The 25,201-nt window shown below is 38.7% G+C and overlaps 1 long non-coding RNA gene across 3 annotated transcripts; it reads left to right on the top strand.

Moving 5' to 3' along the window:
- The first annotated feature begins 28 nt into the window (after nucleotides 1-28).
- On the top strand, nucleotides 29-24,824 carry LOC105379089 (uncharacterized). 3 transcript variants are annotated; one of them, XR_948586.1, is made up of 3 exons: nucleotides 29-131; nucleotides 21,643-21,723; nucleotides 24,580-24,824. It is a non-coding gene; the product is annotated as an uncharacterized LOC105379089 (long non-coding RNA). The 3 variants fall into 3 exon arrangements; XR_001742812.1 differs by lacking the exons at nucleotides 21,643-21,723; nucleotides 24,580-24,824 and adding exons at nucleotides 13,331-13,477; nucleotides 15,843-16,067; XR_948587.2 differs by lacking the exon at nucleotides 29-131 and adding an exon at nucleotides 18,519-18,695.
- The last annotated feature ends 377 nt before the right edge of the window (nucleotides 24,825-25,201 follow it).

The raw sequence follows: 25,201 nt of genomic DNA, 5'->3' as shown, positions 1-25,201 counted from the left end.
TCTTTGTCTCATGGGGTGGGAAGTGGCCATTGTTATACTGATATTTCACACTCTTCTCCTGATTTCATCTTCACAGTTTGAAAAGTGACGAGTTATCATCAAGCTAGACAAAGAGGAAATGAAATGCTGCGGTATGCCCAAATCTTTCTCCAAGTATGTTAGGGAGGAAGCTAACTCTTCTAGGTTAGAAGGGGACTTCACAGATAGTGCAGCACTGATGAAAAGTGACATGGGTCAGAGTTTTACAGAAATGAAAATATTGAACTTTGCCTTTGTAGGGGAAATTTTGTTCAGTTATTTAGCCAAAAGGGGGTGGATTGTTTTAGCTGTAAAATGTTTGTCTGAGTTTTAAAATTAGAATTTGCATGTTTGTTAGTACTACTTGGCCTCCATATACAGAAATGATGCTTTGGCTAAGTTGTTGTCCAAATTATGGTATCAGATTTGCCTTGTTTAAAGGCACACAATGTTCAGGATGCTGAGTGACAAACTTTGATCCCACAGATAAAGGACACCTATGATTTGGGCTTCCATGCATATCCCCTAGTCCTAAGCTAAGCCCTTAAAACTCAAAGATGCAGTAGTTCATGGTTTGCAAGCAGTCCAAAAGGCTCATTATGCTACCCTAATCACCATTGTATCTAGTGCCAAGGGAGACTGACACACAGCAGTGACTAAGAGCAGGTGGCTACAGATTCTGAGAGAGTGGATTGGAACCCTGACTCCTCAACCTACCAGCTGTTTAGTTTGGACAAAATTACATCACCTCTTTAAGCCTCAACTTTCTCCTCTGTGAAATGAGCTAATAATATCGATCCCATAAGATGGTTGAGAGGATTAAATGTAATAATATACTTACAGCGCTCAGCTGAGGGCGGTGCCAGGAATCCACTAAAAGATAACTATTATTAGCGATTATTTCACAAGGTGCCAATTATCCAAGAAACAGTCACAAGCAGAGTCTGTGTGAGAAAGAAAAACTAGATTTAACCTTGCTTAACAACTTTTTAAGATTCTTTCTCTTCTTAAATTCAGCTTTTAATCCATGGTATTTGGTTAGAAAAATGGGCCCTACTAAAATGGACAATTTTGGTAGGTTTGTTCTCTAAACATAAATGGCTATTCAATTTTAACATAACAATGCACATAATATATATGTATATTATTAATGTCTGCTCTGGTTTGAATCTCTCCACCAAAACTCATGTTGAAATGTAATTGCCATTCTTTTTTTTTTTTTTTTGAGTTGTAGTCTTGCACTGTCACCCAGGCTGGAGTGCAATAGTGCGATCTTGGCTCACTGTAAGCTTGGCCTCCCAGATTCATGCCATTCTCCTGCCTCAGCCTCCCAAATAGCTGGGACTACAGGTGCCCACCACCACACTCGGCTAATTTTTTGTATTTTTAGTAGAGACAGGGTTTCATCGTGTTAGCCAGGATGGTCTCGATTTCCTGACCTCGTGATCTGCCCACCTCGGCCTCCCAAAGTGCTGGGATTACAGGCGTGAGCCACCGTGCCTGGCCTATTGCCATTCTAATAGTATTAGGAAGTGGAGGCTTTAAGAAGTGATTAGGTCATGAGGGCTCTCTCCTAATGAATGAATTAAAGCCCTTATTGTGGGAATGAGTTAGTTATCATAGGAGTGGGCTCCTGATAGAAAGGATGAGTTTGGCTTAGTTTATCTCTTTCTGTCTTGCATTCTTATTTCCCTTCTTGCTATGTTATGATGTAATATAAAGATGTATCCTCTCAATCTTGGACTTCCCAGCCTCTGGAACCATGAGCCAAATAAATGCCCAGACTATGGTATTCTTTTTTTAGACAGAGTCTTGCTCTGTTGCCCAGCCTGGAGTGCAGTGGTGCGATCTTGGCTCACTGCAACCTCTGCCTCCAAAGTTCAAGCAATTCTCATGCCTTAGCCTCCTGAGTAGCTGGGACTACAGGTGTGCACTGCCATATCTGACTAATTTTTGTATTTTTAGTGGAGACGGAGTTTCACCATGTTGGCCAGGCTGGTCTCAAACTCCTGACCTCAAGTGATCCACCCATCTCAGCCTCCCAAAGTGCTGGGATTACTGGTGTGAGCCACCATTCCAGGCCCCAGACTATGGTATTCTGTTATAGCAGAAGAAGATGGACTCAAATAGCTTCCCACTTGTCTAAAATGCATATGTAAAATCCTTCTCAGAAGTCAATAATCTTCATATATCTTTTCTAATCTAGGGCTAATAAAAGCACAGAAATTAAAAATGTTCAATTTCAATCTTTAAAGTGGCCTTATACTATAGTATATTTAATATAGATCTAAAGACATAATCCTGACATGGTGGTCAGTGATGGGGGATAGTCAGTGTTGAAGGTCATCAGACAGAAACGCTATGTGTTGTGCACTACACAACCCTCTGGGGCACTCATGGTAACACTGTAGATTTTCATATTTGTTACAGTAATTTTTCAGGCATATATCAAGAAAATATCTCATTTTACCAAAGAAAGTCAGGATAATTTTCTGACATGGAAGTAAAGGGTTTTGAGAAAGCGGCACCTATTTTTAACTCACACAAGGAGTGTACAGTGAGGCACTGTCAATGACCAACTGCATATATGATGGTGGTCCCATAAGATTTTAGTGGAGTGGAAAAATTCCTATTATCTAGTGATGTTGTAGCCATCATAACATTGCAGTGCAATGCATTACTCATGTGTTTGTGGTGATACTGGTGTAAACAAACTTGCTGAACTGCCAGTTGTATAAAGGTATAGCACATGCAATGCTGTACAGTACATAATAGTTGCTAATGATCATAAACAACTATGTTACTGGTTTATGTATTTACTACAGTATACTTGTTATCATTTTTTAAAATTTTTAGTTGACACATAACTGTACATATTTATGGGCTACAGAGTGATATTTAGATACACGTATACAATGTGTAACAACCAAATCAGGGTAATTAGCATATCATCACCTCAATCATTTATCATTTTTTTGTGTTGTGAATATTCAAAATCCTCTCTTCCAGCTTTTTGAAAATATACAGTAAATTATAGTTCACCATTTTCACCCTACAGTGCTGCAGAACATCAGAATCCATTTCTCCTATCTAGCTGTAATTTTGTTTTCATTAACACACTCTCCTCATTCTCTCCTCCCCTTACCCTTCCCAGCCTCACGTTTCTATTCTTTATTTCCATGAACTCAATTTTTTTTTTCTGCCACATGTAAGTAACAACATGCAGTATTTATCTTTCTGTTTTTGGCTTATTTTGCTTAACATAATGTCCTCCAGCCTCATCCACATTGCTGCAAATGACAGGATTTCATTCCTTTGTATAGCTAAATAGTATTCCATTGGGTATATAAACCACATTTTCTTTATCCATTCATCTATTGATGGACATTTAGGTTGAAACCATATCTTAGCTATTGTGAATAGCACTGCAACAAACATGGGAATCTAGGTGTCCCTTTGATATACTGATTTCCTTTCCAGTAGTGGGACTGCTGGATCATATGTTAGTTCTATGTTTAGTTTTTTGAGAAGCCTCTACAGTGATTTCCATATTGACTGTACTCATTCACATGCCCACCAACAGTGCATAAGTGCTCTCTTTTCTCTGCATCCTCACCAGCATTTGTTAACTTTTGTCTTTTTGATAATAGGCATCCTAACTGGGGTGAGGTGGTATCTCATTGTGGTTTTAATTTGTATTTCCCTTATGATTAGTGATGTTGAGCATTTGAGCATTTTTTCATATTTCTTTTGGCCATTTGTATGTCTTCTTTTGAGAAATGTCTTTTTTTTTTTTTTTTTTTTTGGCATGGAGTTTCATTCTGTTGCCTAGGCTGGAGTGCAGTGGTGTGATCTCAGTTCACTGCAACCTCTGCATCCTGCGTTCAAGTGATTCTCCTGCCTCAGCCTCCCTAGTAGCTGGAAGTACAGGCGTGTGCCACCACGCCTGGCTAATTTTTGTATTTTTGGTAGAGATGGGGTTTCACCATATTGGCCAGGCTAGTCTTGAACTCTTGACCTTGGGTGATCTGCCTGCCTCGGCCTCCCAAAGTATTGAGATTACAGGTATGAGCCACTGCACCCGGCGCTTTGCCTACTTTTTAGTCAGATGATTTGCTGCTGTTGAGCTGTTTGAGTTCCTTATATGTTCTGGATATTAATCCCTTGTCAGATGAATAATTTGCCAATATATTTTCTCATTCTAATAGTTGTCTTTTTACCCTTTGATAGTTTTCTTTGCTGTGAAGAAGTTTTTGAGTTAAATATAGTCCTATTTGTCTATTTTTGTTTCCATTGCCTGTGCTTTTGAAGTCTTTAAAATCTTTGCCTAATGTCCTGAAGTGTTTCCCCTATGTTTTCTTCTAGTAGTTTTATACTTTCAAGTCTTACATTTAAGTCTTTAACTTGTTTTGAGTAGATTTTTAAATATAGTGATGGATAGTGTTCTAGTTTTGTTCTTCTGCATATGGATATTCCATTTTCCCAGCACCATTTATTGAAGAGAGTATCCTTTTACCATTATATTGTGCTTGGCACCTTTGTCAATAATCAGCTGGCTGTAAATGTGTGAATTTATTTTTGTTCCATTGGCTTATGTGTCTGTTTTTATACCAATACCATGTTATTTTAGCTACTATAGCTTTGTAGTATATTTTGAAGTCAGATACTGTAGTGTCCCCAGCTTTGTTCTTTTTGCTCAGGATTGCTTTGGCTATTCAGGGTCTTTTGTGGTTCCAAATTTTAGGAGTTTTTTTTTTTTCTATTTCTGTGAAGAATGTTATTAGTAATTTGACAGAGAATGCATTGAATCTGTAGATTGCTTTGGGTAATGTGGTCGTTTTAAGAACATTAATTATTCCAAGCCATGAGCATTGACTGTCTTTTCATTTGTTTGTATCCTCTTCAATTTCTTTCATCAGTGTTTTATAGTTTTCAGCGTAGATGTCTTTCACCTTTCTGGTTAAATTTATTCCTAGACATTTGATTTTTTTGTTAGCTATTTTATATCTTTTTCAGCTAGTTCATTATTGATATATAGAAATGCTACTGATTTTTGTATGTTGATTTTGTATTCTGCAAATTTACTGAATTTATTTATTAAGTCTAAGAGTTTTTTTGTGGAGTCTAGGTTTTTCTAAATATAAAATCATGTCATCCTCAAAGAGGAACAATTTGACTTCCTCTTTGCCAATTTGGATACACTTTATTTCTTTCTCTTGCCTAATTGCTGTGGCTAAAGCTTTCAGTATTATGTTGAATAGGAGTGGTGGAAGTGGGCATCCTTGTCTTGTTCCAATTCTTAGAAAAACGGCTTTCAACTTAACTGCATTTTTTCTAATTTTTAAACACTTTTGTTAAAAACTAAGACTAACATACACATTAGCCTAGGCCTACACAGGGCCAATATCATCAGTATTACTGTCTTCCATCTCTTGTCCCACTGGAAAATCTTCAGGGGCAATAGCATATAATGTTAGCTGTGAGTTTGTCATATGTGGTCTTTAGAGTGTGAAGGTATGTTCCTTCTATGCCAGTTTGTTGAGAGTTTCTATTATGAAGCAATGTTGAATTTTGTCAAAAGTTTTTTATGAATACATTATGATGATCATGTCATATTTTTCTGCATTCTTTTGATATGATGTATTACATGTATTGACTTGCATATGGTGAACCATCTATGCATCCCTAGGATACATCCCACTTGATCATGGCATATGATCTTTTTGGCATGTCATTGTATTTGGCTTGTTGTATGCGTGATGCACATAAATGCAAAATTTCTCAACAAAATATTTTGGGACAAGAAATGGAAGACAGTATAGGCCTAGGCTAATGTGTGTGTGTCTTAGCTTTTAACAAAAATGTTTAAAAATTAGAAAACATAAAATTTTAAAAATAGAAAAAAGCTAGGATATAAAGGATGAAAAATTTTTTGTACAGCTCTATAATGTATTTGTGTTTTAAGCTATGTGTTATTACAAGAGAGTTAAAACTTAAAATGTTAAGTAAAAAATTATAGTAAGCTAAGGTTAATTTATTATTAAAGAAAGCAAAGGTTTTAAATAAATGTAATATAGCCTAAGTGTACAGTGTTTATAAAGCCTACCGTAGGGTACAGTAAAGTCCTAGGCCTTCACATTCACTCATCTCACTCATCACTCATACACTGACTCACCCAGAGCAACTTCCAGTCCTGCAAGCTCCATTCATGATATGTGCCCTACACAGGTAGGTCATTTTTTATCTTTTATACCATATTTTTACTCTACGTTTTCTATCTTTAGATACATACATACTTACCTTTGTGTTGCAATTGCCTTCAGTATTTGGTACAGTCACATGCTGTACAGGTTTGTAGCCTAGAAGCAATAGGCTATACCATATAGCCTAGGTGTTTGGTAGACTATACCATGCAGGTTTGTATAAGTGCACTCTATGACATTCACACAATGATGAAATCACTTGACAGAGTTCTCAGAATCTGTCCATTGTTTGACCTTTGTAAAGCAATACATAACTGTATTTGGGCCACTGACAGCCAGTACCCTGGGTGTCCTCTGTTGAACCGGCCTTAACTAGTCATGGGCCAAAGCAGCCAGTCGTCATTGGCAGGCTGTGTCCTCCTCGACTCTCTTTTATTTGTTTCTTACTTTTGCCTAACCTCCTACCTGTTGTCTCAAGAGCTCTTAGGGTGTCCTTTGGGTCTCCCTTAGGGCTCCTCACCTTTCCTTGTGCTATTCTGATTTTATCTGCTCTGGCCTTCTAGTAATCTCTAATGTGTTTAGCACTTAATATTTAGGCGATGTTCTTCATGTTTCACCTCATCATTCTTACAGGTGAGGCTGCACAGGTGTGAATATCCTGATTTTACAAATAAGAATACAAGGAGGTTGAGAGAAGTCAAGTGACTCACTGAAGAAACTAGTAAAACTCTGACTGAGTAGACCTCAGGCCTGCTGACCCTTAGTCTTGTGTACCATTCCTCCCGGATGCATCACACCGAATTCCACTCAAGTGTAGGGCTTTGACTTCCATTCTCTTCCATTCTGTGTTTGAACCCAGTGGAGAGACTAGGGTTGCTATTTCAGTTAATGGGGTATTTTTGAGGCAGGGTATATTTTCATTCCCCTCAAGCTGAGTGACTGATTTCTCTAGTCTTGAGGGAGATAATATGGATCATGTGGTAAAATAGTTAGAAACATGTTCTCTGGCAACAGACTACCAAATTCAACTCTCCTCTCTGCTGCTTACCAGCTGGATAGTCTTGCAAAATGATATAATCCTGCTTTCCACCTATAGAATGGGATGATGATAATAGCACAATATTAATGATTCTGTAACAATATAATATTATAGAAATTAATCAGATATGTAAAGCTGTTAAAACATGGGCTAGAGCACAGTAAGCACTCAATAAATCTTAGCTCATGTTCTCTTAGGTCTAACCATGTCTGTTTTATTGAATTTTCTAGGTGGGTTTCTTAGCAGGGACTCAATAGCTGTTAAATGAATAAATGAAAGACTTTGTACTTTAGCCGTGAAAGATCCAGCCTGTGAAAGGAGCCAGAGGCCAGTTTCCATGCACTATTTCTGAACGGCCCCAGCTTCTCTCCTAGTGAGTGGATCTGGCCCGTCTCCCATTACCACAAATCTCATTCTAGGAACCTCTACCACTAACTCAGCATCAACGGAATTCTCTAAGATTTCTAGAACCATTTATTGAAGAACAATTCTCAGCACCTCCTAATTTAAGGCATTGATTGTTCTGGGAACATTAAGAAAATGTTGAAAGTCTCCTTTTCTCAAGAAACTTCATTTCTCTGTAGGGGAGAGGGGTGAGCCCACAGCTGACTCTAAATCAAGGCAGCCAGGGCTACATTATATGGTCAAACACTTCCATCATCCTGTGCTTCTCAAGCTTCCTCAAACTTTCTTGGCTAAACCAAACCCAGGCTAAATCCATCTGTCTGCTCACTCTGCCTGTATTTTTGCAGCAGAACATGGCTGGGAGAAAACATGCAACCATGTTGACTGGTCTCAAAATTTATGACCACAAACCTTAAGTGGGTCCTTAATGCTTCCTGGCAATTATAGTATCAGATTTCCTTAGTTCATCACTCTCCTACTTGCCTAGATGACTCTCATGCCTTTTCCTCTGACCTCAAACTGCCATCAACAACCCTGTCACCTGCTGACCTTTCCGTTTTACTTCCCCAATTAAACAGAAATAATCGGAAGGAAATTTTGACAAGCTCCACCCCCACCTCCACATCTATCCGTGACCTACGTGCACCCATGTCCATATATTCTGCCTCCTCCTGTTCAGCAGATGAACCATCTGTGCTCCTCTTCAGGGCCAATGCCCCAGTGGTCCTCAGATCTCACTCCCTCTCAACTATTCAAAGACATTGCTCCAGGGATTTTCCCCTCTGCCCTCTTTATTGGCTCATTCTCATTGGCGTGCAAACATACATTTATTTCTCCCACTCACCTTAAAACAAATAAACAACTTTCTCTTGATCCTATAATATATCCCCTTCCAGCTACCACTCAATTTGTTCCTTTTCTGCACAAGAACATTCCCTGAAATGCTGTTTATATTTTTCTCTTCATAGTTTCTCTCTTTGCTATGGTCTGAATTGTGTCCTGCCCCCTCTGATTCTTACGTGGAAGCCCTAACCCCCAATGTGGAGATATGGTCTTTTGGAGGTAATCGCATTTAAATGAGATCATAGGGTGGGGTCCCAGTCTGACAGAATTGTGGCCTGAGAAGGAGGAAGAGGCTGAGCATCATGGCTCACCCTCATGCCTATAATCCTAGCACTTTAGGAGGCTGAGGCAGGAGGATCACTTGAGCCCAGGAGTTCAAGACCAGCCTGGACAACATAGTGAGACCTCATCTCTATAAAATATTTAAAATTTAGCCGGGCATGGTGGCAGCGAGTGCCTATAGTCCCAGCTGAGTCTGAGGTGGGAGGATCGCTTGAGCCTGGGAGGTCAAAGCTGCAGTGAGCTATGATTGTGCCACTACACTCTCTCCTGGGCAACAGAGCAAGACCCTGTCTCAAAAATATAATAAAAATAAGGAGGGAGAAAGAGAGATCGCTATCCCTCTGCCATGTGAAGACACAGGGTCTGCAAGCCAGGAAGAGGGCCTCACCAGGAAACAAATCTGCCAGTGCTTTGATTTTGGACTTCTAGGCCTCCAGAACTGTGAGAAAATTAATTTTTGTTGTTTGAGCCAGCCTGTTTGATATTTTGTTAGGGTAACCCAAGTAGACAAAGACACTCTTGAACCAGTGTTTTCTCGGCCATGTTCTGCAGTACAGATACGGGCGGGAGTAAGCAGAGAGATGGATTTAATCAGGGTTTGGTTTAGTCAAGAAAGTCTGAGGAAGTGTGAGAAGCACAGGATGATGACGCTGTTTGACCATATAATGTAGCCCTGGCTGCTTTGATTTAGAGTCAGCTGTGGGCTCACTTTCTCCCCCATGGAGAGATTAAGTTTCTTGAGGACAGGGGCTTTTTTTTTTTTTTTTTAAATATTTATATTTCTCCTTACATTTCTCAGTGACCTCAGCACAATCGATGCCTTTAATTAAGAGGTGCTTGGAATACTTCTTAAAGAACTCCTAGAGAATCTCCTGATGCTGAGCCACTAGGTAGAGGCTTTCTATCTATCCCTTGTAACTTCCATTGATGCTGCTCTTGTCAAGATCCCCTCTAACCTGTTTATCAGTAAATCCAGTGGTTAATTCTCAGCCCTCATCTTACTTGCCCCCTTATCAGCATTTGACAGAGTTGACAGCTGTCTTCTCCCTGATACTCTTCCTTTACTTCTCTCCCACTTTTCTGCTACTGCTTTGCATGGATTTCTCGCTCATCTCCCTGACTTCTGAGTGGTTGATCCATCATCTCAGTTGCCTAGACCTTTCCTGAAAATCCCGCATCCTTGGAAACCCCTCCTCTACCTCTGAATGTTGACGTGCCCTAGAGCTCAATCCTTGGACTTCTGCACTCGCTACCTTGATGATCTCCCCTAACCTAATGGCTATAAGCTGATGTTCCCTCAAATCCCCTTCCCCTAAAAGCTGCTCCCTATATAGTGTTTTCCATTGCAGTAAATGGCAATAGGCTTTTTCTAGTCTGCTCAAGCCCCAAACTTTGGAATCCTTCTTCACCCCTCTCTTTCTCTCATATCCTACTTGTTTACCCCACCTTTAAAATATATTCAGAATTGGGAAGTTTCTAGCTGTTTCCTCTGCTAGTCCAAGCCACCATTATGCTAGCCCAAGGCATCATTCTTTCTCCCCTGGAAGATTGCAATGGCTTTCTAATGCATTTCTTATTGCAATGGCTTTCTAAAACCAATCTTGCCCCCTCTCATAAATTATTTTCAACAAAATAGTCAATAAGGTCAAAGTTAAGACTGAAGATTTTCCATCTCGCTCAGAGTAAAGGGCAAAACTTTTCTAAGATCTGCAAAACCTTCTGAGGCGACGAGACAGGGTCCTCCCGTAGCTGCTGATGCCATCTCCTGCTACTTTTTCCCTTGCTTACTCTCCTCCAGCCATGGTGGCCCCCTTATGATTCTTTGAGTACACTGGCAGGCCCTTGCCTCAGGGCAGTTGACCTTGCTGTTGCCTCTGTTTAAATGCACTTTCCCTAGATCTTTCCTCTTTACCCCCTTTCTTGCTTCTCGACTTTACTCAAATATCACTTTCTCAGACAGCCCTTCCCCGGCTATCTAAAACCACTGTTTCCTTTCATATGACACATATACTTCCTGTTACTATTTCCCTCTGAGTATTTTACCTATCTAATATATGTAAGAGTTAAAGAAAGAGGAAAGAAACATGAAGAGTGACTCAACAGTCAAAGACAGGTTTATTTTGGAGGATAAGCCTGAGAGGGACTTCTGACCAATTTCAGTCAGGAGCGCTCTCACCGACTAAGAGTATTTAAGAGTTCAGGGTGGGAGAACTTATCACAGGCTTGGAATGTTTCAGTGTGGAGGAGAAGTTTATTGCAGAGTTGAAATGTCTCTGGTTGGAGGGGAGGTTATCCGGGGGCTGACATCTCTCTGGTCATAGGAGAGGTTATCTTGGGGCTGGCATATCTCTGGTCAGGGAGGGGTTCATTTTAGGGTTGGAATGTTTCTGGTTGGAGATGTCATTTGTGGTTTATGGTTATGCTGACATTAGCCATTAGGCTGATGCCCTTTGGATTGGATTTAGGCAGTTTTTGATCAAGGGGAATTTTAAAATGGCAGTGCTTGTGAAAGATGGTGATGCTCCTGCTCTGTCAATATACATTTTAATTCTTTACCCCGCTAGAATCTAAGCTTCATAAGAGCAAAAATTTTTGTCTCTTTATTTCACTGCTCTGCCTCAATGCCTAAAGTGGTGTCTGGCACATTATAGGTGTTCAATAAATATTTTAACAGAATTTGGCACAGTCTGTCACACATATTCACATGTGCAGAGTAAAACAAACAAACAAAAAATGACTAAAAAACAGATGAAATCTCATGTGATGGCAAATGCAGTACACAGATAGGTGAGCTAACAATTCAAAGACAATGACCACTCCTGTGGCTGTTTATTTATTATGTTGTCCCCAGGTATAGGACTCATAGGCCTTTGTGGGGCCAATAAAAGCTGTGCTCATTGTTACTTTACAGAATCTATATGTTGTAGGTCTATATGTAGTAGATCTATACTATATGGCAGTAGGAATATTTAATCTAGCTGCAAAAATCTTTTTTCCTGTGGAGAAGTTTCTTGTTCTGCCAGAGAGGCTCTGAGCAAGCCCTTGTGGACCCAGCAGTCGGCTCTGAAAAATGCTTAGTCAGCATCCCTGAGACATCAGCCTACCAGGACCAGGCTGGTGGTGGGCAGCCATCCTAGATTGCTGCTCTAATGATGAAGATCTATTTTTGTTGTGTAGCAAGACTGGTGTCCCCAACTCTCCAGCCTGACACAAGCACCTGTACTTCAAGGTGACCAGAAATATCTGTTTAAAATGCGTATAAATAGATTCTAATTCCAAAATCAATGGATGTATTTTTGGCCCTAGACATCTACACATTTAGGCAAATGGCTCTAGGACAGAAGTTAATATTGTATCTGTTTTGTCTCATCAATTTAAAGAATAATGAAAGCCATAAGAGAAAAGTTTTCCTGCGCTCTGGGAATACCTTTTTGTCCCGCCATTAAAATATATATGATTCTATTCTGTACAAAACTTACTCCCGAGGAACCCTCTCTTCTGAAGAAAGGCCCATTTCAATAGAGGCTACATACCCACATCTCCCTATGGCCATGATTACTTACCTGGTAAGAGTTTGGGCATCTTCCATTCATTATTGTTGCTGTCTAGCATGCCTTATCTTTTTAAAAATCAAAGTAAAAATAATTTGTCTAATGCATTTATTTCCCTAGAAATGTGTGATTGATTTTCATAGGTATAGAAACACCTAGGCCATATTGTAGAGTAAGGAGATAGGAACAAGTCAAACATTTTACTGAATGCCTACTATGTGCAAGGCATTCTACATGTATACTCATATATTTATAATTCAGCCATTCTCATAACAACCCAATGAATATATTATCCCATTTTACAGGTGCAAGCTGAGAAACTTTCTCAAAATATGACAAATCCATGCTCTTCCCATCTTACCAAGCACCTTATCACTAGGTCTCTCTATATCTTGTCTTCTTCTGCCCCCTTCTTTTTGGCACCACTTCTGCCCTTTGCCAGGCACCTTGTGCTTAGATACTCAAGTTCCCCACTGAAGTCATCCAATCATTCATTCTCTCATTCATTCAGGCATACAAGTATTCAAACATTTATTGGGTATCTTCTATGCACTTTTCTAGGTCTTGAGAATACAGCAATACCAAACAGAAAAACATCTCTGCCCTTGCCAACATTCTAGAAGGGAATGGTCAATAAGTACACAGATAGCTAAGATGCAGTGTGGTGAGTGCAATTGAAGAGGAAAGTCCTGTAGCTGCAGGAGTGGAGAGAAGGAACACATAGAGGCCTGCAGGGAAGAGGGAGGGAAGAAGACTTCTTGGAAACTGTGACATCTGAGGGGAGTTTTGTGGCCCTGTGAGAATTAGCCTCATGCAGTGGACAAAGCATTTCTGCTCAGTGAATGTCCATTCCCATAATAGGTAGTGCAGGGTGGCAGGACCAGAGCGTTGACAATCAGAGATGAGGCTGTACAACTGAGTAGAGGCAAGACTCTGAAAGGCCTTGTATCTTTGTAGGCATGATAAAGAGTTTGCAATCTATCCTGCAGGTGATGGGGAGCTGAGTTGTCAAGTAGTGTTTATTGAGTCCTTGAGTCCTGTGGATGCACTTATGTGCTACAACAAAGCCTAAAAAGATGCTGATGAAATGCAAACATGGGCAAATGTATGAACTCTGATTCTACTTTGGTGTAAAGGTAAACTTAATACCTCAAGTCAACAATGTAATATATGATGAAAACTTAAGTCCTTGTGGAAAATTCTGTTATATTTCTTCCTTGTGTCTAAAACTGCTGTTTTTTTAACCCCTTCAAACTATTTGGAAACTTGGGACCCTGAGGCCACATTACTGCTGAGGAGTTTCACAGCACTTTGTCAAAGAAATACCTATTAGTTACAAAGCAGTTTCATTTTTGTGACATGAAAAAATATACATATGAATTTGAAAAGTCTCTGTGCAAAACAAAAAGACAAAAAATCAACTTTGAAAAATTATTTCCCAGAATTGGGGTGCCTCTGTAATTATTTTTATGTTTTAAATGTTATATTCAATTTTCACACATATATAATTTTACATAAAAGTGTAAATGTTGTATAGCATAGAAATAACAGAAAGGATTAGTATTCTGAATATATAAAAACATATTCCAAAGTATACAGGAAGGGACACCTGTAATTATCCCTTTTGAAATAATCACTGTATACATTTTTATGTGTTTCTTTCTATTTCTATGAATGTGTATGTATGTGTATGTATGTATGTGTATGTATATACATATGTATATATATGTGTATATATACATATATACACACACACATATAATTGAGATCACATTATATATAATTTTATATCTTGACCTTTTTCACTTAACCTTAATTATAGGCTATATTTTAACTTCTCACTTGTTATTACATATTTTTGAAAATCTGATTTTATTGGCTGTATAAAGTACATTCTATGGAAAATATAATTTTGTTTATCTGCTTTTTTTATTTCAGGGCCTTTGAATTGTGGTCTTTTTTGTGGATATAGTACTCCAATAATATTGTAAACAAAATCTTTTCATATATTTCTTATTGTTTTCTAAGTAAATAGTGGACTGATATGGTTTGGCTGTGTCCCCACCCAAATCTCATCTTGAATTGTAGTTCCCATAATCCCCACGTGTTGTGGGGAGAACCCAGTGGGAGGTAACTGAATCATGGGGATGATGGTTTTATAAGGAGCTTTTCCCCCTTTGCTCGGCTCTCACTCTCCCTCCTGCCATCCTGTCAAGAGGTGCCTTCTGCCATGATTGTAAGTTTCCTGAGGCCTCCTCAGCCTTGTGGAACTGTGAGTCAATTAAACCTCTTTTCTTTATAAATCACCAGTCTTCATAGCAGCATGAGAATGGACTAATACATAGACCTAAGGGTAGAAATATTTGTGAGGATATTGATAGATACTGCCAAATTGCTCTAAAAGAGATTATTATATTTTTGCAAAGCAAATTAAAACTATGCAACAAGAAACAAATTTTCATACCCAAATGCAGTGATTACAGGTCTGAAAATATGTCCTAGGGAAATAACCCAAAGTAGAGAAGAAGACATATATCAATGTGTTCATCACAGTGTTAAAATTACCAAAAAGTGGAACTTGCATAATTTTAGGAAATCTGAACAGTATTACTTTTGTAGGACTTAGTTATAATATGACAACCATGAAAAAGTATTTATTAATAATTACTTATAATATGGAAAATGTATACATTACAATGCTAAGTGAAAACTCGGGATAAAAAATGTCATATACAGTTTATTGTATTTTTATTACTTTTTTTATATTTTAAAAAGTGACTAAAAGACAACTCTTCCTTTGTTGTACAATTATACTTTTTTATTCAAGTTTCCTTACCATTGTCACTTTTTGTGTAAAACTTCAGTCATCTTTTCATTTTCTAATGGTGTACTCCAGTTTTTACGTTTTGCTAAGTCATGATAGAAATCACAAGAACTTTCTAACTGCAGCCTGCCTTGAAGTAAACAGCCTGAAGATTTCTGCTAATTCCAGAATGCTTTCACAGATTCTAGCCGATAGAGATAGATGTTTAGAATCAGGAATTCCGATTTGATTACTGACTTGCCCAGCTCTCTGCATCTGTTAGAAAGCAGCGCAGGGGAAGTTTTGTCTGGTCTATGATTGATCTGTGAAGCATGCAGGAAAGCACTTTCAGAGGAGAATGATCAGCTTCAGACTGAGAAAGCACTTTTCCCTCCAAATCTCAGCCTTGCTTTTCATCAGTCAATAATACATTTTAGATTTTAGTTTGTTTTTATTTTTTAAGATGGAAGAGAAAATTATTTGATGTGACATAAAATGAGCAATGTTTTGAAGGCTATTCAGCAGGAGAGCTCTAAAATTTTTGTAAGAATTGGGAGGTTGCTGTAATTATTTTTATGTTTTAAATGTTACATTCAATTTCCATATATAAGCATATAATTTCACATAAATGGTTGAATGTGATTTTTTTTCAGTAGAGTCTTTTTTTTCTTACTATTTTTACTTCCTTTATCTTCTAGCCCTCTTACCCATGTAGCCTTGGTAGGAGACCTTTCTAACTTCAGAACATGTCAAGTAGGTTAAAACACCCCTATTCGACTCAGATTTTTGGGCGGATACTGCACTTCAGATGTTAGCCAGGTTTGGAAGCTCTGTAGCAACGGATTCTCATTAGTAGTCTGCTAAACCTATACTTCGAGAAGTGTTATCTGATTTTACACAAAGAATTGAAGACCTAAAGTTGCTGGCAGGTAAACAGGTTCTTTTTTTTTTTGTGGTACTCCGGTTTAAAAATGCGGAAATAGGCCAGGTGTGGTGGCTCACACCTGTAATTCCAGCACTTTGGGAGGCCAAGGTGGGTGGATCACCTGAGGTCAGGAGTTCAGGACCAGCCTGACCAACACGGTGAAATCCTGTCTCTACTAAAAATACAAAAATTAGCTGGGCATGGTGGTGCATGCCTGTAATCCCAGCTACTCAGGAGGCTGAAGCAGGAGAATTGCTTGAACCTAGGAGGCAGAGGTTGCAGTGAGCCAAGATTACACCATTTTACCCCAGACTGGGCAACAAGAGTGAAACTGTCTCAGAATGAATGAATGAATGAATGAATGAATGAGTAGAAAATAAAAATGCAGAAATAAATGTTATGTGACTTAAAAGATCATCCTGTGGGCATTGACAGGGAAGGGCATAAGAGGACCTTTCGGGCTGATGGAGATGTTCTAGAGCTTGAACTAGTGGTGGATACATGAGCATAGAGGATTTATCAAACCCGGCCCAACTATGTGCTTAAAATAGATACAGTTTATTGTAGGTAAATTATACACAAATGAAGGTTATAAGACAAAAGCATTTCTATTCATTTACACTCTGGGTTTTGGAATTTGCTGTGAAATCCTTTCAAAAGAGCTCCAGAGTCTTGATAATAATGTCAAGGATATACCTACGCGTTTATTGTCACTACAGTCCTCATCCCTCCTCCACTGGTGGTAACGTGAGTTTCAGATGATTTATTCTGTGGAGCCACTTAAGGACTAGGAAGGGAGGGTGTAGCAAAAGTGGCTCTGCGGGTGACCAGGCGCCACTCAAGGAAATGTCAGCAGCTGTGGGCATTGCACCCTCATTCTGCTACAGAAGTGGCTCGGCTCTCTGTTCTTCCACAAACATCTTGCAGGTGGTAGCAAAACATGTAGAAAGAGGCAGTTCTTGATGTGGTATCATGGAGACAGAGTACAATTCTCTCTCAATTTCTTTTTCTCTCTCTCTTTCATTACTATATCAAATATAGGTCAGGCGGAACAATTGGTACAAGTTAATAAGACATCATTGTTTCTGATGCAAGCCAATCTCCAACTACTTGTTACCATTTTGCTTAAGGTGGTTTGGGGCTAAACTTAATTGTGCTTTTTGTTCTGTTGTTTACTTTAATCATGATAACCAATAAGTTATACTTCAAGGAATGATTTCATAGTATGTCTGCCCGAAATTCCCCTTGGTTAGAAACAGTGAAATTTAGACCATGAAAGGGGCAAAGCAGATAGTCTCATTTCCCCTAGCCTCCCAACATTTAGACTTTCATTAAACACTGTTCTCCCTGTATGTTATCAGGGAGACCCTGCCTTACATCTCAATTTTTGTTAAATGCAACAATGCCTATGTTCATGTACGCTCTTCATTTGCTATTACTAAGTCCCAGAGAGGGTCCAGTCATAATTCTGGCTTCAGCCAAAGCAAAGGAGCACAGTAGAGTCAGGGAGATCTGGTGGGGCTGGAAAATGCAGAAGGTGGAGGAAAATGTGGCAGTGAGTGAATCTGATGGGGATCTGGGATGGGAATTGTGAGAGAGGTAGGGGATCTGGGCGAGCATGTAGCTGGCATGGGAAAGCACACTATCTACCCAAATGTCTCCACCACCTCCGATGAAACCTCTAAACCATGTTTCCCAATTACTTTTTAATATTCACAACTACAGTTCACAAATGTAAAGTCTGAAAATAATGCAAATTTGTAATCTAATATTGGGTGTGTAACACTGAATCAATGAATTTTTTATGCTCATAACACAAAGAAAAACTTAATTCAAATTGGTTGTATAGAATCTATGATAGTTTATGGAGTTTAGGTTGAAGTTTTTGATAGTGTTGTCAACCCTTTTAAGAAAAGCTCTAGAGTCTCAATAATAATGTTAAGGATATACACAAAACTGAAGAAAGATACTACAGATACTCATGAGGAAAAACTTCAACCACTTTCAAGAAAGTCAGAAAAATGGATTTATGGATATCTGTCTGGTGTGTATGTATGTATGTATTTTAAATATCTCAACAAAATCCCTAGGAATTCCATTGAATAATTTTTTACTAGCCTAGTTTAAGTAATAAATAACAAAACTATATATTTAAGTAATGAAACTATTCAATAATGAAGTTTTCATTTTATCCAAATTGAGAGAAAGAGACCAACAGATATTTACATTATAACACTTAATAGATACAATAATGGCACTGACCAAATGATAAAAGCTGTAAGAAGCCAATCAATTATCCACTAAGATTCTGTTCTTTAACATTTCTCCAGGTGGCACACCCACAGTAGGAAGGACCTGGAGCTGCTACCACAGTTGGTGGGAGGGGTGGGCCAAAGGGGAAAATATTGCCCCTCTCTAGGCCTCTAACCCCTCAGGAGATCTTCCTCATCAGATTGGATACGAGTATGACTAAGATGAAGATAATTGCTTTTTAAAGGAAAATGCCAGTGAGTGCTGTCAGCAAGATGAGAAAATAAGACTTCCCAGCTCTCACCCTCTTGCAAAAACATTAATTTGAACAACTATCCATGCATGAAAATACCTCCACAAGAGCTAAGGGATCCAGGTGAGAGATGATAGCACCTGAGTGCAGCACAGAAATAAGAAGCTGCATTGAAGAGGGTAGGAAAGATAGTTTCACATTATCCTCGTCACCCTTCACCTAAGCTCACACAGTACAGTGCAAAGATACTGTCTACCTGATCCAATTTTGGTCAAAACCAAACTTTTGTCAGCTTTAGGATGACTTCAGTTTTAGGATGACACAAAATGTGAGAGACAGAGCAAAAGATGAAAATAATACAGGATCCTGGGTGACTTTATTGAGCTACTAAGTCAAACATTTCTTGAAAACTTTATTACTTTAGACTTTCAAGTTTTATAAAACAATATATAATCCCTTTATTGTATAAATCAGCTGGAATAGGATTGTCTGTTACTTGCAATAGAAATATCCAAACTGATATGTTTTTAAAAAAGAGTATTATTACCACATATATCGGTCATACTCTTTAGCTCTTAGGTATAAACATAAGTAAATGACATGATTATTTTAAAAAACTTTGGATAAGCAAATCAAAGTTGTAAGACAGACCACTGACTTAGTAGTATTTTATTTGTGAGATAGATACTGAATCACTTGATGTAGAATAGTTTTTAATGTTTTTAATATCTTTTTGAAAGGGATTTGAACATTAAAAAATATAAAAATTTTACCTTGCCTTGGCAACATGTTTAGATCTCAACACCAAATTTATGTTTCTCTCTCTCTCTCTATATATAATATATATATACATACACACACGTATATATACATGTGCGTATATATACATGTATATATACAGAATATATATATGTGTGTATATATACATGTATATATACAGAATATATATATATAATCATAGTTTTAAAATACATATTGATAAAACATGATCAATCTAGTCTGGGATAAACTTAAATTAACTTCTCTGTTTGCAAAAAGCAAAATTATTTTAGATTATTTCTAATTGCTAATGAACCTGTGGTGCTTAAGGGTATTAGGGTTTTCTAGAGGGACAGGACTAATAGGATATATGTATATATAAAGGGGAGTTTGTTAAGGAATATTGACTCACATGATCACAAGGTAAAGTCCTACAATAGGCTGTCTGCACGCTGAGGCTGTCTGCACGCTGAGGCTGTCTGCACGCTGAGGAGCAAGGAGGTCAGTCCAAGTCCCAAAACCTCAAAAGTAGGGAAACTGACAGTGTATCCTTCAGTCTGAGACAGAAGGCCCAAGAGCCCCTGGCAAATTCCTGGTGTAGATCCAAGAGTCCAAAATCGGAAGAACTTACAGTCTGATGTTCGAGGGCAGGAAGCATCCAGCACAGGAGAAAGATGTAGGCCAGAAGACTAAACCAGTCTAATCCTTCCACGTTATTCTGCCTGCTTTTATTCTAGCTGCACTGGCAGCTGATTAGATGGTGCCCACCCAGATTGGGGGTGGGTCTGCCTCTCCTAGTCCACTGACTCAAATGTTAATCTCCTTTGGCAACACCCTCACAGACACACCCAGGAACAATACTTTGCATCCCTCATTCCAATGAAGTTGACAATATTAACCATCAGAGATGTGGAACAATTTCTCCAAAGTACAAACTTAAGCTTTTTTTCCTCCCCGTACCTTTCATAATAACTCAGGTTTTTCAAGTTTCAGGAATGAAAATATTTCAACTAACCGAAGAGTTATTAAGCTGAGAACATAGATAAAATCTTACTATTTCAAGTAGAGCAATGTAATCATAAACCACTTGAACATTAGCCAGCTTGTAATATTATTCTGTATGGCTGAAAGAGCATGCCACAAGTTGTCATGAAAGAAGAAGTTCAGAATATCAGTTCTTTTCATGTAAACTCATCTTTCTTGTCCCTTTGATGTTTTCACCTCCAAACAGGAGAAGCAGTCTTGGGAATCTGAGCCATTTTCCCTCTAGCAACTTTCATTAACCTTTAAGATTGTTTTTCTTGTTTACTGAAGAGCTGTGACTTGTCCTATTGAAATCTTGCTCTTGACTCAAGTCTCTGTTACTGCCCCTCGTCTGAGAGACTTGCTACAGCAAGAGAGAAAGAAACGGATAGAGAGAAGTTGATATAGATGTGCATTGTGTTTTCTCTACACAGTAAACATCTGTTCATAGAGCATAGCTAAGTATTTCTCTGTGTAAATGTGGAAGGGTGGGTTCAGGAAGCTGTGAGACAGCAAGATGTTTCTGGAAGGAACTGTATCAGACCAGGAGGACCTATTGGCCACATTGGTCACAAACAATAACTAGATGAAAAGAGGACCCACAGGAGTTACTGTAAGAAGATGGATGTATCAGCTCACCCTAGGGAGCATCTGACTGTGCTGCCTTATGTCACGACTGCAGGGAGATAAGGTCTTTAGGTGACTCTCCTCATTATAATGAGATACTAATAAGGCATAATGAAGGAAATAGTAAACCCAAGTGGGACGTTTGTGACCAAGACTTGGAGGGGCCTAGAGGTGGAAAGAGGAAGCTTTAGCAGGGAGCTTGGAGGTACTGAAGGGGAGGAGTCAGGAAGGGGAAGAGCCAGACTCCTCACCATGTCACTGAGTCTTAGGCTCCAGCTGGTTACTAGGACAGCTTGAGGCAAGTGCTTTCAAGCAGGAATTCACAGGAAAGGAGGTTCTGCTACTCTGACTCTGTGCTTTTACTGGAAAGACTACTGCCAAACGCTATTTGGCTGAGAACAGGCAGACCAATCCAAGTTTGTACAGGACTTTCCCAGTTTTAGCACTAAAAGTCTTGGGAAACTTTTCAGTAGTTGGCCACCCTAGAACCCTGTGGAGTTGGATTTGGGCCTGGTGCTTAGCGACCTTGCAGGAAGTGGTGCTCTCTTGGATGCCATATTACTGACCAACACAGGTCAAAGAAGAATCAGTGGAAGAAAATTTAAAAAACATAGTTTATATAGGAGATTTACTTTTCTCTGCATTTTAATTTGGGTTCCAGGTGCCCTTGATCCAGGGAAAGAGGGACAGAGTCATTACCATTGAGGTTCCAGATCATACTTCCAATCTTCCTCCAGGCTAGGTAAGGCATCAGTGATCAACAGACCTGCGTTCTGAATTCAGGGGACAGAGAAAAGATTTAGGACTATGAGGTGGAGGAGGGTGGGAGTAGATGCCTGGTTATGGAGTAGGTTTCTTCTTTCCCCCACCTCTGCCACAGCAAGAAGCTGGCTATTCATTCAATTTTACTCTTTCTCCTGATGGAAAACAAAGTGTATGCCACAGTTCTTGTTGGGAGAAGCCATTACTATTTGAAAATATGGAAGAGGGGATCAAATTATACAAAAAAAAAATCCACTGATTTCAACTAAAAATATGTGTGCATGTGATAAAAAACAGCTGGGGAAAATATATAAGATAAAATAGTGCCACGGAACAAAGAAGAGTCATATTAACCTGTAGGAGCAGTTACCTGTCCTTTGTGGAAATTAGAAAACAGAACAGTAACACTCTTTCACTCTAGAAAAGGCTGTCCAGCACGTGGGTGAGCCTCTGCTGATGTGAATATATGATGGATACAGAGCTGAAGAGCTCCTAGTGGGGTGGAGTGGGACATAGAAGAATGGGTAATTTACCTTTGAAGCCTTTGAAGCTGCTTCAGTGGCTTCAAATTATTCATTGGGATATAATACTTTTTCCTTGATGGAAGACTTCATGGTCAAATAAATTTGGAAAACACTTCCCTTAGCTCTCTTTACAGTATGTACTTTAGCATATCAAACTACTTAAATTTGTTTAGCTATTTTCAAAAACCTTATTTTATTATAAATTGGGAAACAATTATTATCATCTCAGGGATATAGTGACCTACAGAACACAGTTTCAGAAATACTGCCTCAGAAGGTTTGTTTCTAGAATAATACCAGTGAAAATCTTAGAAAAGAATGTCCTTGAAATTCTTTTAGAGGTCAATGGCATCTTCACTGGTAAATTTCCAAAATGGAACCTTCTGCAATCAGAGGTATAGGACCAGTGTCAATACCAACTGCCCAGGAAATTCGGTCCCTCCACTTAAACCCAGGTTTGACATTGGAATGCCTGCATTTTCAGAAAAGAAGCATTATCTTATTTCACTGGAGCTCTGAATCACTGAATCTTTGTGAATTCTCTTGTTAAACAAATCTTTTAAATCCAAAATCTAAAATGAGACATCTTTCAGAAATGTTGTAAACAAGGAAAGGGTTTAAAAGGCAAATATGATAATTGAAGTGGCCATTTCAAGGTCCAAGTGATAATTTAAAAAGAAGATTTATCACTTAAGACAATTGTTGAAATCCTTTCTAAAATTTAGATGGAAGAAAAAATAAAAATTATGTTGAATAAGGGCCCACTGAGAAAAGATTGCTATTTACTTGGGGAAATAGTTGAACTAGTTAAATACAAATATAATTTCCACTCAAACACTACCCTTACAATTGCAAACTTGTTGAAAGGGCAAAACATAGGAAAATTACTCTATAAATATTTTATAACTAGGGAACATTTTAGCTGAGCAGCCTAAACATAGCCTTTTAGGTTAGAGACAATCTACTCTCATTTTCATATGATGTAAATAGGTCATCCATCATTATCCGAGATAATTCTTTTGCATTTAACTAGAAAAAAGGCTTTGTTCCGATGAAACAGTAGGCACTGATTAATAATATTTAGAAACAAGATATATTTTCTTTCAAGAATTCTTCCGAAGATCTGTCTTTATTGAGTTTTCCTAAGATGTATGAATCTTTGTACAGATTTATTATATTTGACTAAAGTCTTCTTGAAAAGCAGTTTCTCTCTGAGAGTCATGAGACACAGGGAGAAGAGTAGATATGTGGGCCTTGGATGACCTTCTGTGTTCTTTCTGGAATTGTCATGTTCATACACTGAACCATGCCTGGGAAAATTTGTGAATGGTGTTTTTCTTGGGGACTTTCACACCCCCCAAGAATATTTCCCCTCCCCATTTTATAAGCTCCACAGGATCCAGCCCTTTAGTTCCCTGACTTCCCAGAGATCCTTCTTAGGTACTCCACCCTGGCCTGCTTAATAATTCACCTTTCCTATATGTCATTGAAACTTCAAATCTTACCCTCCTACCTTATTCACAAGAGCAAAACATTGGAAACAAATGTGAAACAGTAAGGAAATTTAAAAAATAGATTCTTATGAAATACTAATAAATAATTAAATGGATATTTTGATCACTAAAGAAATGTTAAGCAAAACAACTCAGACGCATGAAGACAAATGCCACATGTTCTCAGTTATAAGTGGGAGCTAAATAACATGTACACATGGATGCAGACTGTGGAATGATAGACACTGGAGACTAGGAAGGTGGTGGGGGACAGAAGGTGGGTGGATGATGATAAATTACTTAACGGGTATAATGTGCGTTGTTCTAGCAAGGGATACACTAAAAACTCTGACTCCACCACTATGCAATCTATACATGTAACTAAATTACCTTTGTACCCCATACATGCATACAAAAATATTAAGGAAAAAACAGGATATAAATTCTGTGCATTATATAATCCATATATTAAATTATTTTTAAATATATTCTACATATGTATGTATATATGTATATAAAATATGTAAATTCTATCTATTCTCCCTATACCCATGTATCTATACATACATGCACACACACTGTTTATAGCACTTATCTCTTTAATTACAGTTGATTTTTGTCTTCTTTATGTTTTATTAATTCCAATTTCCTACAATGAATGTGTATTACTTTCCTAGAAAGAAAAAATGAAAATGGTTGAAAATAATAGAACTATATTCTCTGTGGTTCATGTATTTGAATCCTTGGTTTTTGCTAGAAGAACTGAATCTATTTCTGTTCCTCCAGCAAACTGATATTATGTTAACGTCTGTCATGCAGACCTTGAATTTTGTGTCAAGAAGTCTGGAGAATAGACTTGGCTCTCTGCTGATTGGCTCTGTGACTTTGGGCAAGTTCCCTGGCCTCTCTGAGCCTCAGTTTTTTCACCAATAATAGAAGAGGTCTGGGAGGATCACGGCAGATGGGAAGCAGGACTAGACTGCAGCTCCCACTTGGACAGACAGAGCAGTGTATGGAGGTTCGCATCATGAACTTTTGCTCCAGAACGATTGCAGGAATAAATCAGGAAAGCCAAGAGAACCCACAGCGCTCTGAAGGAAGCAGATTGCTCCTGCAGGACCCAGGGGACACCCCAAATACTGTGAGTGCCCAAAGTGTGGAAGTGGGAAAGAGGGATCATCCGTCCCTGAACACACACTCTCACTGGGGAACCTGAAGGTCTAGATCATGGGAGAATATTCTGACCTTACTTGGAGCTGAATCAATCTAGAGAGCCAAGCAAAATACAGGGGTAAAGCCCTGTGGGCTCGCTGGGTCCCCCTAGCAAGCCATTCTGCCTTGCCTCACAGGGATCCTTGAGGAAAGCTGCCAGAGGCACTGGAAAAGGCCACTGCAGAAGAAAACCTCCAGCTGAAGTTTGTAACAATTTGAACCGACAGAG

This window comes from Homo sapiens, chromosome 5, assembly GCF_000001405.40.
Source record: "Homo sapiens chromosome 5, GRCh38.p14 Primary Assembly".
Taxonomy (NCBI): Eukaryota; Metazoa; Chordata; class Mammalia; order Primates; family Hominidae; genus Homo; species Homo sapiens.
This window is presented reverse-complemented; position numbering and strand designations above follow the sequence as displayed.